At 48.3% G+C, this 19,294-nt stretch overlaps 1 protein-coding gene across 1 annotated transcript in view, besides 4 other annotated features; it reads right to left on the reverse strand.

The window, feature by feature from the left end:
• Positions 1–19,294, reverse strand: part of RHPN2 (rhophilin Rho GTPase binding protein 2) — an 86,297-nt gene that overhangs the window by 44,778 nt on the left and 22,225 nt on the right. Inside the window, exon 3 of the mRNA NM_033103.5 lies at positions 3,135–3,263. Coding sequence (NP_149094.3) covers positions 3,135–3,263 — 129 coding nt within the window. The remainder of the gene's footprint in view (positions 1–3,134; positions 3,264–19,294) is intronic.
• Positions 8,699–9,570: an enhancer, noted in NCBI's record as "OCT4-NANOG-H3K27ac-H3K4me1 hESC enhancer chr19:33522974-33523845 (GRCh37/hg19 assembly coordinates)". NCBI's record gives its function as "activates a minimal SCP1, AML or CMV promoter by ChIP-STARR-seq in naive and primed H9 embryonic stem cells {active_cell/tissue: H9 hESC(naive and primed)}" and the evidence as "EXISTENCE:reporter gene assay evidence [ECO:0000049][PMID:30033119]".
• Positions 17,988–18,132: an enhancer, noted in NCBI's record as "145 bp enhancer 165 fragment used in the MPRA reporter construct; PK_construct_167". NCBI's record gives its function as "activates an SV40 promoter by MPRA in HepG2 cells {active_cell/tissue: HepG2}" and the evidence as "EXISTENCE:reporter gene assay evidence [ECO:0000049][PMID:23512712]".
• Positions 18,053–18,066: a transcriptional cis regulatory region, noted in NCBI's record as "HNF1 motif; enhancer activity is reduced when this motif is scrambled". NCBI's record gives its function as "necessary for full MPRA enhancer 165 activity {active_cell/tissue: HepG2}" and the evidence as "EXISTENCE:site-directed mutagenesis evidence [ECO:0005528][PMID:23512712]".
• Positions 18,264–18,765: an enhancer, noted in NCBI's record as "H3K4me1 hESC enhancer chr19:33532539-33533040 (GRCh37/hg19 assembly coordinates)". NCBI's record gives its function as "activates a minimal SCP1, AML or CMV promoter by ChIP-STARR-seq in naive H9 embryonic stem cells {active_cell/tissue: H9 hESC(naive)}" and the evidence as "EXISTENCE:reporter gene assay evidence [ECO:0000049][PMID:30033119]".

Consider the following 19,294-nt stretch of genomic DNA (forward strand, 5'->3'; position numbering starts at 1 on the left):
GTAGCAGTGAGCCAAGATCACGCCACTGCACTCCAGGCCTGGGCAAAAGAGCGAGACTCCATCTCAGGAAAAAAAAAAAAAAAGAAAAAAAAAAGATCAACCATGCTAAGAAAGAAACAATCTACTTTGAAAACAGGGCCAGGCATGGTGGCTCACACCTGTAATCCCAGCTCTTTGGGAGGCCGAGGCAGGCGGATCACGAGGTCAGGAGATCGAGACCATCCTGGCTAACGGTGAAACCCCGTCTCTACTAAAAATACAAAAAATTAGCCAGGCAAGGTGGCGGGCGCCTTTAGTCCCAGCTACTCGGGAGGCTGAGGCAGGAGAATGGTGTGAACCCGGGAGGCAGAGCTTGCAGTGAGCCGAGATCGTGCCACTGCACTCCAGCCTGGGCGACACAGTGAGACTCCATCTCAAAAAAAAAAAAAAAGAAAAAAAAGAAAACAGAAGAGCGCAGGACCCAAATGCATGGTGCCGTGTTGAATCTGCACAGCTCTCCCTCTTCCCAATGACACAGGGCAGTGACTGGCCACTCTAGAGCCCAGGGACCAATCCAGAGACCTTCGGTTCACTCTGTGGGAAGCCCTGTGTTGCACGTCCCTGCTCTTCGGCATGGCAAATGCGAGTGTGGAACAGCCGACATTTATTCCCAAACCTTGGCCCCATCTCGCCTCCTCCAGAACCTGAACCTTTTGGACAAACACTGGAATTGAACACCAGAGCATAGGCTGGGAGAACCTTCCATTAGCTGTCGCACTGACTGGGCGTTCAAAACTGCACAGGAGGCCGGGTGTGGTGGCTCATGACTAATCCCAGCACTTTGGGAGGCTGAGGTGGGTGGATCACGAGGTCAGGAGTTCGAGACCAGCCTGGCCAACATGGTGAAACCCCGTCTCTACTAAAAATACAAAAAATTAGCTGGGCATGGTGGCATGCGCCTGTAGTCCCAGCTACTCAGGAGGCTGAGGCAGGAGGATTGCTTGAACCTGGGAGGCGGAGGTTGCGGTGAGCCGAGATCATGCCACTACACTCCAGCCTGGGTGACAGAGAGAGACTCCATCTCAAAAAAAGATAAAACAAACAAACAATAAAAACCGTACAGGAGCCCACAGGTAAGCCAGGCATGTGGTGTCACAAAGGGAAGAGCCAGCGAGGTTTCACACACTGACGCCTCCCCTCCAGCTCTGAAACCACCCCGGTGCCCTGCAGAGGACCAGCACCAGGAAACACACATTCCATAGGTGACTCAAGGTTCCCAAATCCCGGGAGCTATTTTCCGACTGAGTTTCCCCTGGGGCCCACCTACTTTTTGAGAAGTCTCATGCCCACACTGAAGAAGCACGTAAACCCTTCTCTGAACTGTCTCAAAGTTATTTCTCCTTAAAAAGAAGCATTTCGCTTAGGGTTCTGTTTTGTTTTTGTGTTTTTTGAGACAGGACTTTTTTCTGTTGCCATTACTACAGTCTCGACCTCCCTGGCTCAAGTGATCTTCCCACCTCAGCCTTCTGAGTAGCTGAGACTACAGGTGTGCACCACCATGCCCGGCTAATTTTCCTATTTTTTGTAGAGATGGGGTTTCACTATGTTGCCCAGGCTGGCCTTGAACTCCTGGGCTCAAGCGATCCCCCACCTCAGCCTCCTGAAGAGCCGGGATTACAGGCATAAGGCAAGAGGGGCATTTCTTTCATAGTTAGATCTCCATTTTTGGAGATGTATTGCAATTCTGAGGGATGGTGTTGTTGGCTTTCACGTTGAAGAAATCGATTCCAAAATTGAGTTATGGAGAATGATACAATAGAGTGCCTTCAAAATTGACCTAGGGGCCAGGCACAGTGGCTCACATCTGTAATCCCAGCACTTTGGGAGGCCAAGGCGGGCAGATTACTTGAGACCAGGAGTTCAAGACCAACCTGGGCAACATGATGAAACCCTGTCTCTACTTAAAAAAAAAAAAAAAAAACAATTAGCCAAGTGTGATGGTGCGTGCCTGTAATCCCAGCTACTCAGGTGGCTGAGGCACAAGAATCGCTTGAACCCAGGAGGTGGAGATTGCAGTGAGCTGAGATCGCTCCACTGCACTCCAACCTGGGTAAGAGAGGGAGACTCTGTGTCAAAAAAAAAAAAGGAAATACAACCTTAAAAGGAGACTGGTGTGTTACTTTAATTTGGATTTTTCTGTTTCAGTTTGTCCCTCCAGCTAGGAAACAGACTGCAGTCCAACGTAAGTACAGTGCACAGAATCTCTGTGTGTGCATAGTGGCCTCCCCTTACAGGGTCAATTTTGGCCTTTGGCCTTAATCCCAAAGTATTTGTGTATGCTTTTTGTTCCTTGGCAAATAAATGAGGAAATAATTAGCCAACATTGGAAAGGTATTGTCCTAACAATGTCCCTTTAATATTTCTTAGGAAAGTTATGGTGACCCACTAAAATATCCTTGCTTAATGTCTGTTCAGTTGAATTTAATAACATATCTTGCTAATGTTTGCGTGTCTATGAAATGTGACTACGCGGAATTACTGAAAATTAACTATAAAATCCAAGGCATCTAACTTTTAAACTTATCTTGGCTCATCACGTATATTTACACTAGATTTTATACTGTGTTCATTTGTTTTTTTTTTTTTTTGTCTGTTTGTTTTGAGACAGAGTCTTGCTCTGTCAGCCGGGCTGGAGTACAGTAGTGTGATCTCGGCTCACTGAAACGTCCAACTCCCGGGTTCAAGCAATTCTGCCTCAGCCTCTGAGAAGCCAGGATTACAAGTGTGCACCACCACGCCTGGCTATTTTTTTTTTTATTTTTAGCAGAGACGGGGTTTCACCATGTTGGCCAGACTGACCTCAGGTGATCCACCCGCCTCAGCCTCCCAAAGTGTTGGGATTACGGGAGTGAGCCACCGTGCCCGGCCTCACAAATGCCTTTTTGTCCAACACTGCAGGTATTTCCCAACAAATGGGCTCATCCCTTCCAGTCTAGCACCTCACTCAACCCCAAACCTGATGGTTCTCTCACTTCCGAAAGTGGGGGCTGCCACACCCCAGTCTAGAACGCTATCTGACCTCTTTGTGCAGCACCCTGGATGTACGAAGGATCTCTGGCTCAGAGGCTTTTGGAAGGTGTGCTGCTCCCACTTACTCTGTGTTCTGATAGACGCCCACCGAGATGTTCAGCCCCTCCAGCTCTTCCTTGAGCATCTGCAGGTCTGAGTTGACGAAGCTCAGCTCCAGCCGCACTTGCTCCCGCACCTTTGAGTTTGTGGCCACTCTGTTCAAAGAGAAGAGGGAGAGAAGTGCCCTCAGCCAGGTATCCTGGCTTCTAGGTGAGCAGACCCAATCCCCAGTCCCTGCAGGGAGGATCAGGGCACAGCTTGCAGAGGAGGGCCAGGAGTGTCGGTTAAGGTATCCCAGGGACACAGGGCACCTACCCAGCTTGCAGCACACCTGCCAGTACGTGGAGCTGGGGACACAGGCAATGACACTGTGAGCTGCAGACATGAACTCTATGACATCCTGCAAACACTCAGTCTTGAGAAGAGAAAACAAAACTGCTCCCAGCCATGCCCTAAAATACCATAAGATACCCACTTGAAAAGAAATGAATGATTCCAGCCGGGCATGGTGGCTTACGTCTGTAATCCCAGCACTCTGGGAGGCCGAGGCAGGTGGATCAGCTGAGGTCAGGAGTTCGAGACCAGCCTGGCCAACATATAGTGAAACTCTGTCTCTACTAAAAAATACAAAAACTAGCTGGGTGTGGTGGTGCATGCCTGTAGTCCCAGCTATGCAGAAGGCTGAGGCTTGAACCTGGGAGATAGGGGTTGCAGTGAGCTGAGATTATGCCACTGCACTCCAGCCTGGACAACAGAGCAAGGCTCCCTCTCAAAAAAAAAAAAAAAAAAAAAAAGAAATGAATGATTCCTTTCGGTGGGAGAAATCACAGTACATAAATAAATAAACATAAAATTTGTTTTAAAAAAAGAAAGAAATGGATGATTATAGCTGGGCATGGTGGTGCATGCCTATAGTCCCAGGCAGGAGGATTGCTTGAGTCCAGGAGGTTGATACTGCAGTGAGCTATGATCACACCACCGCAATCCAGCCTGGGTGACAGAGCAAGACACTGTCTCTAAAAGCTAAAATAAGATAAAATGAAATAAAATATAAAAATATATAAGATAGAAAGTAAAATAAAATAAATGAATGAGAAAATGAAGGGAGAGGTAATGCTTCCCAATTCATTCTGTAAGACTAGTATTAGCAATCCAAGCCTAGCAACATATAAATAGGATTGTACACCATAACTAAGTGGGATTTATCCCAGGAATGCAAGGTTGGTTTAACATCTGAACATCAATATAATATAATATATTAACAGAATAAAGGACAAAAAAACACATGGTGACTTCAACAGATATTGAAAACACTGTGACAAAATCCATCACAGATTCATAATAAAAATTCTCAACAAAGTAGGAATAAAAGAGAATTTATGAAATCTGATAAAAGACACCTACAAAAACCCACAGTTAACATCACACTTAGTGGTGAATGACTGCTTTCCTCTTCTCACCAGGAACAAGGCAAAGATGCCCACTTTTGCTATTTCTAATCAATGAGGCAAATAAAGAAATTAAAGGCATCCAGATTAGAAAGGAAGAAATAAAACTGTCTTTATTTACAGATGGCACTATCTTATATATAGAAAATCCTAAGGCATCCATAAAACAAATATTAGTACTAATAAATTTAGCAAGGTCACAGGGCATAATCAATATACAAAAATCAATTCTTTTTTTTTTTTTTTCTCTAGACAGGGTATCAGTCTGTCACCTAGGCTGGAGTGCAATGTCACCATTATGGCTTACTACAGCCTCAACCTCCCAGGCTGAAGCCATCCTCCAGCCTCAGCCTCCCAAGGAGCTGGGACTACAAGTGCACACCACCACGCTGGCTAATTTTTGTGTTTCTTTGTAGAGATGGAGTCTCACTATGTTGCCCAGGCTGGCCCAGAAATCCTGGGCTCAAGCAATCTTCCTGCCTCAGCCTCCGAAAGTGCTGAGATTACAGGCATGAGCCACTGTGCCTGGCCAATTCTATTTCTATATACTAGCAATGAACAATCTTAAAATTGAGAAAACCATTCCATTCACAATAGCATCAAAAAGAATAAAATACTCAGGAATAAACAAAAGAATCACAAGACATGTAAACTGAAAACTACAAAACAATGCTGAGATATATTAAAAGAAGAGCTATTCTATGTTTATGGATGGGAAGGCTCATTATTGTCAAGATATCAAGCCTCCTTAGTTGGTACATTCATTCAATGCAACCTCAATCAAAATCCCACTAACCTTTTTAATAGAAATCGGCAAGCTGATCCTAAAATTCATATGGAAATGCAAAAAAAACCTACAATAGGCAAAATAATTTTGAAAAATAAGAACAGAGTTGGAAGACAATTGATTTTAAAATTTACTAAAAAGCTGGGCTGGGCATGGTGGCTCACGTCTGTAATCCTAGCATTTTGGGAGGTTGAGGTGGGTAGATCACCTGAGGTCAGGAGTTCAAGACCAGCCTGGTCAACACGGTGAAACCCCATCTCTACTAAAAATACAAAAAATTAGCTGGGAGTGGTGGCGGACACCTATAATCCCAGCTACTCGGGAGCCTGATGCAGGAGAATCACTTGAACCCGGAAGGCAGAGGTTGCAGTGAGCCAAGATCGCGCCACCGCACTCCAGCCTGGGCAACAAGAGCAAAACTCCATCCCCAAAAAAAAAATTAAAAATAAACTTACTAAGAAGCCATAGTCATCAAGATAGCATGGTACTGACATAAAGATAGGCAATGAATCAGAATAAAAGTCCAGGAATAGGCCGGGTGTGGTAGCTCACGCCTGTAATCCCAGCACTTTGGGAGGCCGAGACGGACGGATCACGAGGTCAGGAGATCGAGACCATCCTGGCTGACATAGTGAAACCCTGTCTCTACTAAAAATGCAAAAAATTAGCTGGGCATGGTGGTGGGCACCTGTAGTCCCAGCTACTCGGGGGGCTGAGGCAGGAGAATGGCGTGAACCCAGGAGGCGGAGCTTGCAGTGAGCTGAGATAGCACCACTGCACTCCAGCCTGGGCGACAGAGCGAGACTCTATCTCAGAAAAAAAAAAAAAAAAAAGAAGAAGAGTCCAGGAATAAATGTTTACATTTATGTAGTAAATCTTTACAATTGATTTTGAACAAAAGTGCCAAATCAATTCAATGTGGAAAAGATTATTGTTTCAACAAATAGCGCTAAAGCAGGTTGACATCCATAGGTACGTCAGGGTCCCTAAAACCACCCCCAAGTTCAGTGTTAATCTAGGAGGACTTGCAAAAGCCATGGCTATGGTTTACGACAGCAAAAGACACAAAGCATAATGAGCAAAGGGAAAGGCACATGGGGTGAAATTGGGAGGAGGCCCGGCCCAGGCTTCTAGGGGTCCTCTCCCAGTGGAATCCCACAGACCGTGCTTAACTCCCCCAGCAAAGAGTTGTGACAACACACGTAAAATGCCATCTACCAGGGAAGCTCAGAGACTCCGTGTCCAGGGTTTTTACTGGGGGCTGATAGCATAGGCACCTCTGCCTAGCATGCTCCAAAATTCTGGATTCCCAGAAGGAAGGCAAGTGGTTCCACATAAACCACACCATTTGTACAAACAGTTCAGGCACAGTGAGTCAATCTTATCAGTCTGGGAATGGTGAGAACACTCGTAAAATCGAAGTCTCTGCCCTCACCACGTGTGACAACACTCTTCCTCTTGTGGCCCTGGAAGTCCACACACACGCACATTTGGACTGCCCCAGAAAATAAGATACTGGAGGCTCAGCTTGATGAATTTCATCAATTTAGAGATGTTTGTGTGTGTATGGCTATGGCACCAGTAAGAAATACATTTTAAGCCAGGTGCAGTGGCTCACATCTGTAATCCCAGCACTTTGGGAGGCCGAGGCACGCGGATCACTTGAGGCCAAGAATTCGAGATCAGTCTGGGCCACATGGTAAAACCCCGTCTCTATTAAAAAGACAAAAATTAGCCAGGCATAGTGGCACACGCCTGTAGTCCCAGCTACTCAGGAGGCTGAGGTATGAGAATCGCTTGAACCCGGGAGGTGGAGGTTGCAGTGAGCTGAGAGCGCACCACTGCACACCAGCCTGGGTGACAGAGCAAGACTCCATCACAAAAAAAAGAAAAAAGAAATACATTTTATTTTACAACTCAGTACATGCATGCACACACACAGACACATGCCCCTGCAACAAAAGTCTCACAGAAGTCATAGGCGTGATCCACTCCAGCATAGTCTAGTCTACTCTAATAACTTCTTTTTAAAACACAATTATGTTTGCAACCCTCCAATTCTCTGATTATCTGACACCAACTGGGTATCCAACAATTCAATTCGATTCTGACCCCAGCTCCCGGCGTAAGCACATACCCCACAGAGTAGGGGCTCGGTCCCACAAGGCTGCCCCCATTTTAGGGACCAGTCACACATCCTGGGAGAGAGGGGGATACTTGTGCTTCTGACTGATGAGCTGTCAATCAAAGGTTCCCACTGCCACCTCCTCAGGTTTGGTAATTCACCAGAAAGACTCCCAGAACATAGGAAAGCACCTGATGGACCAGTACTGGTTTATGTTATTCAATTCAGGAACAGCCAATTGGAAGAGGTGTACACGGCAAGTTATGGTGGGAGAGGGGCAGGGCTTCCATGCTCACTCCAGACACCTCAATGTGTTCACCAACCCAGAAGCTCCCTGAACCTCATCGTTCAGAATTTTATTCTATTCTATTCTTTCTATTCTATTCTATTCTATTCTATTCTATTCTATTCTATTCTACTCTATTCTATTCTATTATTTTTGGGAGAGGGTCTTGTTTTGTCACCCAGGCTGGAGTGCAGTGGCACATCATGGCTTACTGCAGCCTTGCCCTCCAGGGCTCAAATGATCCTCCCACCTCAGACTCCCAAGTAGCTGGGACTACAGGCATGCACCACCACACCCGGCTAATTTTTGTATTTTTTCACCATGTTGCCCAGTCCAGTCTCCAACTCCTGGGCTCAAGCAATCCGCCTGCCTCAGGCTTCCAAAGTGCTGGGATTACAGGCGTGAGCCACGACGCCCAGCCTTATTTTATTTTTTTGTATAGATGGTGTCTTGCTATATTCCCGAGGCTGGTCTCCAACTCCTGGGCTCCTGGGCTTGAGTGATCCTCCCTCACCCTCCTGAGTAGCTGGAACTACAGATATGCACCATTGCGCCTGGCTAACGTAGGTTTTTTGTGGGTGTGTGTGAGATGGAGTCGCCCAGGCTGGAGTGCAGTGGCGTGATCTTGGCTCACTGCATGCTCTGCCTCACGGGTTCCAGTGATTCTCCTGCCTCAGCCTCCCGAGTAGCTGGGACAGTGATTCTCCTGCCTCAGCCTCCTGAGTAGCTGGGACTACAGGCGCCCGCCACCACGCCCGGCTAATTTATTGGATTTTTAGTAGAGAGGGGTTTCACCATGTTAGCCAGGATGGTCTTGATCTCCTGACCTCGTGATCCACCTGTCTCAGCCTCCCAAAGTGCTGGGATTACAGGCGTGAGCCACCGGGCCGGTCTTTTTTTTTTTTTTTTTTTTTTGAGGCAGAGTCTCACTCTTTCCCCCGGGCTGGAATGCAGTGGTGCGATCTCAGCTCACTGCAACCTCCACCTCCCAGGTTCAAGCAATTCTCCTGCCTCAGGCTCCCGAGTAGCTGGGATTACAGGAGCCTGTCACCATACCCAGCTAATTTTTGTATTTTTAGTAGAGACGGGGTTTCACCATGTTGGCCTGGTCTCCACCTCCTGACCTCAGGTGATCCACCCACCTCGGCCTCCCGAAGTGCTGGGATTATAGGCGTGAGCCACCGTGACCAGCCTAATGCAGGGTTTATGGAGGCTTCATTACGTATAGATGATTAAATCATTGGCCACTGGTGACTGAGCTCGATCTCCAGCCTCTCTCCCTTCTCCAGAGGTGGTGTAGGGAGGAGCTGAAATTTCCAGCCCTCTCACCATGGCTTGTGCTTTCTGGGGATCAGCATCCATTCTAAAGCCTCCCACCAAGAGTGATCTCATTAGCATACAAAAGATACTTTTATCACTCAGGAGCTCTGTGCCAGGAACACAGGAACAGGACAAAGACCAAATATTTATCTTTTATTATGCCACAGCAAAGCACTGAATTGATGTCATTACACACCACAGGTCACAATCTGCAGCTTGTAAAACCTGTGCTACAAAGAGCTTATTGAGAAAACGACTGATCCTGTAGCTGATAATGTTCACAAGGATTGGGGTGGGGGCGGAATCCTCCCATCCCTCAGTATCAGGAATGGGTTCATTTCTTCTTACAAATGGGATTCCTTTTGTCTAGTGAATATAAAATGTGTTCCAAATATATTCCCTTCCTCCTATTGCCTGCCAGGAAGCTCAGAGACAAACCATGGCTCACATTTCACAAAGTATAGAGGACTTTGTGGCATGCACTAGCCTTACCTCCAGCTAAATCTCTCCTTTATTCTTCTTTCTCTTGCCTTCATATCTTCATTCACTCCTGATTTAATCTTACATGTTGTATGAATATGTTAAGGTACTTCAAATCTACTTTAAAATGAGGGAAGATAAATAATTATAATTCAATTATAATTCCTAGAGGACAAGCCTTCTTTCTCTTGGTATTTTTTTCCTAGAATCTGGCATAGCCCTTTCCACATCATGGGGGCGCTGAACAAATTTTAGTTCATGGAAGAACAAATGACAGAGTGAAGACTACTCCCTCTAGGCAGTGAGGGAGCTGATTGGTGCTTAGTACCACAGTAGGTTCGACTTAAATATAAAAACTAAGGCTGGGCACAGAGGTTCACACCTGTAATCCCAGCACTCTGGGAGGCCAAGGTGGACAGGTCAACTGAGGTCAGGAATTCAAGATCAGCCCGGCCAACATGGTGAAACCCCATCTCTACTAAAAATACAAAAATTATCTGGGCATGGGGGCACACGCCTGTACTCTCAGCTACTCGGGAGGCTGAGGCAGGAGAATCACTTGAACCTGGGAAGCGAAGATTGCAGTGAGCAGTGATCACGCCACTGCACTCCAGCCTGGCGACAGAGCGAGTCTCCATCTCAAAAAAAATAAAAATTAAAATAGGCCGGGCACAGTGGCTCACACGTATAATACTAGCACTTTGGGAGGCCGAGGTGGGCAAATCACCTGAGGTCAGGAGTTGGAGACCAGCCTGACCAACGTGGAGAAATCTCGTCTCTACTGAAAATACAAAATTAGCCGGGCATGGTGGCAGGCACTTGTAATCCCACTACTTGGAAGGCTGAGGCAGGAGACTCGCTTGAACCCGGGAGGCACAGGTTGCGGTGAGCCGAGATCGCGCCATTGCACTCCAGCCTGGGCAACAAGAGCGAAACTCCGTCTCAAAAAAGAAAAAATAAAATAAAATAAAAATAAATAAAAACTGAGACCCTAAGAACCCCACCAAAATCCCTAGAGAGCTTCCACGTAATGCCAACTCTTTATTTTTCCACCTTTATATATAAATTTGCCATGTCTCCCCCCTCCCATCTTGGCAAAACATTTTTTTTTTTAATAGAGTCAGGGGTCTAAACATATTGCCCAGGCTGGTCTCAAACTGCTAAGACAAAGCAATCCTCTTGCCTCATCCTCCCAAAGTGCTAGGATTATAGGTGTGAGCCATCGCGCCCGGCCTGGCAACAATTTTTGATTTAAGATTTGCCACAAGGCCAGGCGCGGTGGCTCACGCCTGTAACCCCAGCACTTTGGGAGGCCAAGGTGGGCGGATCACGAGGTCTGGAGTTTGAGACCAGACTGGCCAACACAGTGAAACCCCGTCTCTACTAAAAATACAAAAGTTGGCCGGGCGCGGTGGCTCATGCCTATAATCCCAGCACTTTGGGAGGCCGAGGTGGGCAGATCACGAGGTCAGGAGATCAAGACCATCCTGGCTAACACAGTGAAACCCTGTCTCTACTAAAAATACAAAAAAATTAGCTGTGTGTGGTGGTGGGCGCCTATAGTCCCAACTACTCGGGAGGCTGAGGCAGAAGAATGGCGTGAACCTGGGAGGCAGAGCTTACAGTGAACAGAGATCCTGCTACTGCACTCCAGGCTGGGTGACAGAGCGAGACTCCGTCTCAAAAAAAAAAAAAAAAAATACAAAAGTTAGCTGGGCATGGTGGCACACCCCTGTAGTCCCAGCTACTCAGGAGGCTGAGGCAGGAGAATCGCTTGAACCTGGGAGGCGGAGGCTGTGGTGAGCCAAGATCATCACACCACTGCACTCCAGCTTGGGCAATAGAGCAAGACTCCATCTCAAAAAAAAAAAAAAAAAAAAAGATTTACAAGAAAGCCAGGTGAAGTGGGTCATTCCTATGATCCTAGTGCTTTGAGAGGCTGAGGCAGGAGGACTGCTTGAGGCTAGGAGTTCAAGACCAGCCGAAGCAACATAGTGAGACCCTGTCTCTAAAACAAATATGTTTTTTATTTTAGTTTTTATTTTTGAGATGGAGTATTTTTGAGATGGAGTCTTGCTCTGTCACCCACGCTGGAGTGCAGTGGTACGATCTTGGCTCACTGCAACCTCCACCTTCAGGTTCAAGTGATTCTCCTGCCTCAGCCTCCCAAGTAGCTGGAGTTACAGTGTGTGCCACCACACCCAGCTAATTTTTTGTATTTTTACTAGAGATGGGGTTTCACCCTGTAGGCCAGGCTAGTCTTGAACTCCTGACCTCAAGTGATCCACCTGCCTCTGCCTCCCAAAGTGCTGGGATTACAGGCGTGAGCCACCACACCCAGCCAATTTTTGTATTTTTAGTAAAGACAAGGTGTCACCATGTTGCCCAGGCTGGTTTTAAACTCCTGGCCTCAAGTGATTCTTGAGGATCAGCCTCCCAAAGTGCTGGGATTACAGGCTTGAGCCACCACACCTGGCCTAAAAATTTTTTTTAAATACATTTCCAACAAATCAATGAGCTGCCCTTAAGATGTAGACCTCTTTAGGTTGGTCACTTTGAAACTGTTGGCAGCCAGGTGGGGTCTCAGGGTTGGTTTCTGTAATGCTGACCTTTGGTGCAACCATGATTCAGAAATCAACCCTGGCGTCTGAGCTTCGTTGCTAGCACAGGTGTAGGTCAGAGGCGTTCGAAGGACAGCGACTCCATTTTGAGTGAGGGCTGGAAAAAGAGGCTGAGACTTGCTGGGCTGCATTCTCAGAAAATTAGCCATTCCTAGCCTCTAAATGTTTACAGTAAAGGGAACAAATTAATAATGTTTTCTAAAACAGACCCAGACCTGGGAGTGTCCAGATATCCCGATATCTGGAGAACAAAGGCATTCCTCAATTTTGCTTTAAAGATAATAATATCGGGCCGGGCGCCATGGCTCACGCCTATAATCCCAGCACTTTGGGAGGCCGAGGTGGGCAGACCACCAGGTCAGGAGATATAGACCATCCTGGCTAACACGGTGAAAACCTATCTCTACTAAAAATACAAAAAAATTAGCTGTGTGTGGTGGTGGGCACCTGTAGTCCCAGCTACTCGGCAAGCTGAGGCAGGAGAATGGCATGAACCCGGGAGGCAGAGCTTGCAGTGAGCAGAGATCAGGCCACTGCACTCCAGCCTGGGTGAAAGAGCCAGACTCCATCTCAAAAAAAAAAAAATTAAAAAAAAAGATAATAATATCGATTCCTGCAAAATATAGTAAGAAAGAAAATTAATTTTTTTTTTTTTTTTTGGTGACGGGAGTCTTGCTGTGTTGCCCAGGCTGGAGTGCAGTGGCACAATCTTGGGAGGCTGAGGCAGGAGGATTACTTGAGGCCAGGAGTTCAACACCAGCCTGGGCAATATAGGGAGACCCCCATCTCTACAGAAAATTTGAAAATGAAAATTAGCTGGGAATGGTGGTATACGTGTATAGTCCCAGCTGCTTAGGAGGCTAAGGCAGGAGGATCACTTGAGCCCAGGAGTTTGGGTCTGCAGTGGGCTAGTGAGAGGTGACAGCGTGCTGGCAGTCCTCACAGCCCTCGCTTGCTCTTGATGCCTCCTCTGCCTGGGCTCCCACTTTGGCGACACTTGAGGAGCCCTTCAGCCCGCCGCTGCACTGTGGGAGCCCCTTTCTGGGCTGGCCAAGGCCCGAGCCGGCTCCCTCAGCTTCTGGGGAAGTGTGGAGGGAGAGGCGCGGGCGGGAACCAGGGCTGCCCGCGGTGCTTGCGGGCTAGCGCGAGTTCCAGGTGGGCGTGGGCTGGACGGGCCCCGCACTAGGAGCCGACGTCCGGCCCGCTGGCCCCGGGCAGTGAGGGGCTTAGCACCTGGGCCAGCAGCTGCTGTGCTCAATTTCTCGCCTGGCCTTAGCTGCCTTCCCGTGGGGCAGGGCTCAGCACCTGTAGCCCGCCATGCCTGAGCCCCCCCGCCACCCTCTGTGGGCTCCTGTGTAGCCCGAGCCTCCCCGACGAGCGCCGCCCCCTGCTCCACGGCACCCAGTCCTATCGACCGACCACCCAAGGGCTGACGAGTGCGGGCGCAGGGCGCCGGACTGGCAGGCAGCTCCACCTGCGGCCCTGGTGTGGGATCCACTGGGTGAAGCCAGCTGGGCTCCTGAGTCTGGTGGGGACGTGGAGAACCTTTATGTCTAGCTAAGGGATTGTAAATACACCGATCGGCACTCTGTATCTAGCTCAAGGTTTGTAAACACACCAATCAGCACCCTGTGTCTAGCTCAGGGTTTGTGAATGCACCAATCAACACTGTATCTAGCTACTCTGGTGGTGACTTGGAGAACCTTTGTGTTGACAATCTGTATCTAGCTCATCTGGTGGGGACATGGAGAACCTTTGTGTCTAGCTCAGGGACTGTAAATGCACCAATCAGCACCCTGTCAAAACAGACCACTGGGCTCTACCAATCAGCAGGATGTGGGTGGGGCCAGTTAAGAGAATAAAAGCAGGCTGCCTGAGCCAGCAGTAGCAACCTGCTCTGGTCCCTTTCCACACTGTGGAAGCTTTGTTCTTTCACTCTTTGCAATAAATCTTGCTGCTGCTCACTCTTTGGGTCCACACTGCCTTTATGAGCTGTAACACTCACTGCGAAGGTCTGCAGCTTCACTCCTGAAGCCAGCGAGACCACAAACCCACCGGGAGGAAGGAACAACTCCAGACGAACAACTCCAGACGTGCCGCCTTAAGAGCTGTAACACTCACCGCAGAGGTCTGCAGCTTCGCTCCTGAGCCAGCGAGACCACAAACCCACCAGAAGGAAGAAACTCCAAACACATCCGAACATCAGAGGGAACAAACTCCAGACACGCTGCATTTAAGCACTGTAACACCGCGAGGGTCCGTCGCTTCATTCTTGAAGTCAGTGAGACCAAGAACCCACCAATTCCGGACACACTAGGATTGCACTGCTACACTCAGTGTGGGCAACAGAGTGAGACCTCCTCTCAAAAAATAAATAAATAGGCATGGTGGCTCACAGCTGTCATCGCAGCACTCTGGGAGGCCTAGGCACGAGGATTGCTTGAGCCCTGGAGTTTGAGACCAGCCTGAGCATCATAGGGAGACCCAGTCTCTACAAAAAAATTTTTAAAATTAGCCGAATGCCAGTCAGGTGTGGTGGCTCATGTCTGTAATCCCAGCACTTTTGGAGGCCGAGTGGGCGGATCACTTGAGGTCAGGAGTTTGAGAACAGCCTGGACAACATGGTGAACCCCCTCTCTATTAAAAATACAAAAATTAGCTGGGCATGGGGGTGCGTGCCTGTAATCTCAGCTACTAGGGAGGCTGAGGCAGGAGAATCGCTTGAACCCAGGAGGCAACAGAGCGAGACTCCATCTCAAAAAAAAAAAAAAATTAGCCTACTATGGTGGTACACACCTGTGGAGGCTGAGGCGGGAGGACAGCTTGAGCCCAGAAGGTTGAGGCTGCAGTGAGCTGTGATCATACCACTGAACTCCAGGTTGGGCAACACAGCAAGACCCAGCCTCAAAATGAATAAATATAAAAATTTTATTTATTTATTATTTATGTATTTATTTATTTTGAGACGGAGTCTCGCTCTGTCACCCAGGCTGGAGTGCAATGGCATGATTGCAGCTCATTACAACCTCCGTCCCCCTGGTTCAAGCAATTCTCCTGCCTCAGCCTCCCAAGTAGCTGGGATTACAGGCGCACACCACCACACCCAGCTAATTTTCTTTTCTTTTTGTTAAGAGACAGGGTCTCACTCTGTCACCCAGGCTGGAGTGCAATGGCGCGATCTCGGCTCACTGCAACCTCGAACTCCTGGGCTCAGGGGATTCTCCAGCCTCAGCCTCCCGAGTAGCTGGGATTACAGATGTGTGCCACCACGCGTGGCTAATTTTTGTATTTTTAGTAGAGACAAGGTTTAACCATGTTGGCCAGGCTGGCCTCAAACTCCTGACCTCAAATGATTTGCCCGCTTCAGCCTCCCAAAGTGCTGTGATTACAGACTTGAGCCACCACGCCTGGTCTAAAAAGTTTTTTTTTTAAAGTAATACATGTGTATGTTGCATTCTGTCCCCATTTGTTTTAGTGTAATTATTTTTCTCCCAAGTCTTTTAATAAAACTATCCTTCCAGGAATAAGCACCACATTGACATAGTGACTTGCCGCAGCTTCAGCGACCTTATTAGAGCAGCTTAGCCTTAGTCCATCTGATCCCAAATCCCGCTCTGCCAGGGTTTCAGGAGGCTGGAGCGAGGACTGTCCCATCCCCTGCTGAGGTGGCTGATCAGCCAGACCGGCAGGACATCTGCTCCCAGCCTGTCTCTCAATGGAGGAAGGTGGGCCTTGATGTTGATGTCAGCCCCAAAGGCTATGGAGGGCCTGCAAACCCCACCACAGACACACACCAGCCCTCCCACAACTGACGGTGTGAGCTGTCATCAACCTCAAGTCACTCTCATGACAGCCAAGGCCACCTCACGTCACTCCTGACCCAGAATTTCATCACCCCCGTCCAGAGGTCACAAACTAAACTGAAGGCCCGAGGGACTTGTTCACCTGGCTCTCAGGATGTTACTATCCCCCCTCTGAAACGAGTCCCCAAAACTTAAAAATTCAACAATCGGCCAGGCACAGTGGGTCATGCCTGTAATCCCAGCACTTTGGGAGGCTGAGGCAGACAGATCACTTGAGGTCAGGAGTTTGAGATCAGCTTGGCCAACATGGCAAAACCTCGTCTCTACTAAAAATACAAAAATTAGCCGGGTATGATGGCGCATGCTTGTAGTCCCAGCTACTCAGGAGGCTGAGGCAGGAGAATCACATGAACCTGGGAGGCAGAGGTTGCAGTGAGCTAAGATCACGCCACTGCACTCCAGCCTGGGTGACAGAGCAAGACTCTGTCTCAAAAAGAAAAAAAAAAAAAATTCAACAATCAGATTAAAAACAAAAAAAAATTCCTAACTTCTCCTGGAAAAAAAAAAAATTAGAAGATACAGCAACTCTGGCCCTACCCTCCATGAGGCAAACTGCAGTTGCCTCATCCAGACAGGGCATATGCTGTGCACTTCACCACAGTCCCCACCACTCCCTGTTGTCTCACAGCACAGAATCCAGCCCCATTCACTCATTTAAAGCCCACCTGATCCCTGTAAACCTCGGAGCAGGTCACTTCTGATCTAGCCCAACAACTCTCAGCACAACAGGGGAACCTGAAGCCCAGAGAGGTTAAATGACCTGCTCTTGTTCAAAGAATCAAAGAACTAGTTAGCTAAAACTAGTTAAAACTAGGCAACCTGCCTTTTTTTTTTTTTTTTTTTTTTTGAGACGGAGTCTTGCTCTGTGGCCCTGGCTGGAGTGCAGTAGCGCGATCTCAGCTCACTGCAAGCACTGCCTCCCAGGTTCACGCCATTCTCCTGCCTCAGCCTCCCGAGTAGCTGGGATTACGGGCACGTGCCACCACACCCGGCTAATTTTTTTATTTTTAGTTTTAGAGATGGGGTTTCACCATGTTGGCCAGGATGGTCTCGATCTCTTGACCTTGTGATTCGCCCACCTCGGCCTCCCAAAATGCTGGAATTACAGAAGTGAGCCACAGTGCTCACCGGCCCTGCTTTAAATTTCACAAGGACTGCCTCAATTTCAGATAAACTTCATCATATTTCTACCCTAGCTTTTCTCAAGGGAGGGAAGCTGGGAGAAGACAGAATATTGTCTCTGGTTGGCCTAAATGAAAAAGTACGGTCAGGCATGGTGGCTTACACCTGTAATTCCAGCACTTTGGGAGGCTGAGGCAGGCAGATCACCTGAGGTCAGGAGTTCCAGACCAGCCTGGCCAACACCGTGAAACCCTGTCTTACTAAAAGTATAAAATTTAGCCAGGCATGGTGGCACATGCCTATAATCCCAGCTACTCGGGAGGCTGAGGCACAAGAATCACTTGAATCCAGGAGGTGGAGGTTGCGCAGGTGAGCTGGTATCTCGACACTGCACTCCATCCTGGGAGACAGAATGAGACTCTGTCTCAAAAAAAACAAACAAACCTGAAAAAAGTGCATTTGAAATATTTGATGGCTTCCTAAAAAAACTCCAGGAAGCTCATGGACTCCCAGCTGGAATGGATCAGAGAAGGGGAAGACTTTGAAGGATCATAAAATCTGGTTTTTCAAGTGCCTGCCTAGCCACGATACCCTCTGACAGTCCTCAGATAAGGGCTTAGCACCCCCATTTCCATTCCTGCATTTCTGGGGACACCTCCAAACATCCCCCACCCCTATTCCAACAGATCTACTTTCCTTTGGGGGCTGCGGTAGGAAACCTGGGAACCAGAAGACAAACAGAAGGAAAGCAGGGCCTAATTTACAACTGAAACCACCCATGGCCTGCAGAGACAGCCACGTAATGGGTCGCCCAGGGACACTGAGGGGCCAGAGCGGAGCTTGGCAAAATGCCCTATTTGTTTTCGGGAAACCGTTGGTGCTTGTTGAGTCAGATTAATAAATACCTTCAGGGTTTCCTCTGACAACATTCTCCAGCAAGGGGTACTTTGAACCTTTAGGCCACTGTGAGAATCATTAACAACCCCCCACTCCTGCCCCTGCCAACCCAACCACTGCCAGTTTAACAATGAGCTTGAGTCAGGCTCGGGCCTCAGAAAGGGTGACTGCTGTTGTCGTTAAGAGAACAAGGCACACAAAACTGCCCTAGTTCCTGCCTGAGAAAGTCCAAGTTCCCTGCTCACAGGGGCCTCTCTGACCACCCTCTGTCTCTAAGGCTGGCCATCCTGGGCCAACCTCTATGATATTCAGAGTTCATTATTCCCTAGAAAACATCACTTCCCTAGGTGATCTGATTTGTTTACTTGTCTATAAAAGTCTCCTCCCATCCTCCAACAAGAGAAATCACAAAAGCAGAGCCTCGCCTGATCTTCAGGCACCTCAACTGTGCCTGCCACTTAACAGGTGCTCAATAGCCAGGCACAGGGGCTCACTCCTGAAATCCCAGCACTCTGGGAGGCTGAGGCAGGAGGATCACTTGAGGCCAAGACTTTGAGACAAGCCTGTGCAACACGGTGAAACCCTGTCTCTACTAAAACTTTAAAAAATTCAATTAGCCAGGTGTGCTGGCACGTGCCTGTAGTCCCAGCTATTTGGGAGGCTGAGGCAGGAGAACCACTTGAACATGGGAGGCAGAGGTTGCAGTGAGCCAAGATTGAGCCATTGCATTCCAGCCTGGGCAACAAGAGTGAAACTCCATCTCAAAAAAAAAAAAAAGGTGCTCAATGAATCCATGAATAGGTAAATCAATTGTTGTCCACTCCTAGGAAAGCCATACACCATCAAGGCTGCCCACCTGCCCCCTTGGCCACAGAGCAGGCCTGTCCAAGGGTCAACCAGAACCCTAGGCCACAAAACATACCACGGCCTTCCCAGCACATGACAGGGAGTCCCAAAATCGGGGGCCTCTCTCACGTCACACAGATGACATGAGTTGCTCTCTGCTATGGGAGTGGACAATTCCCATGTCCAAACTTGTCTTGGGATAGGGACACTGCTTGACTTTTTAAAAGCCAAAACGCTACAGTATTTTTCCCAGCCTCCTCCAGTAACAACCTGCTTTGCACCCAGTTGCAAAAGGAGCTGGAGAAGAGATTCCCAGACAAACTTCCCACCCAGGACCTCAAGTCATCAGGTATTCCGTGAGTAACAAAAGCAACACAGGCCAGGCACAGTG

The sequence above is a fragment of the Homo sapiens genome, chromosome 19 (assembly GCF_000001405.40).
Source record: "Homo sapiens chromosome 19, GRCh38.p14 Primary Assembly".
Lineage (NCBI taxonomy): Eukaryota > Metazoa > Chordata > Mammalia > Primates > Hominidae > Homo > Homo sapiens.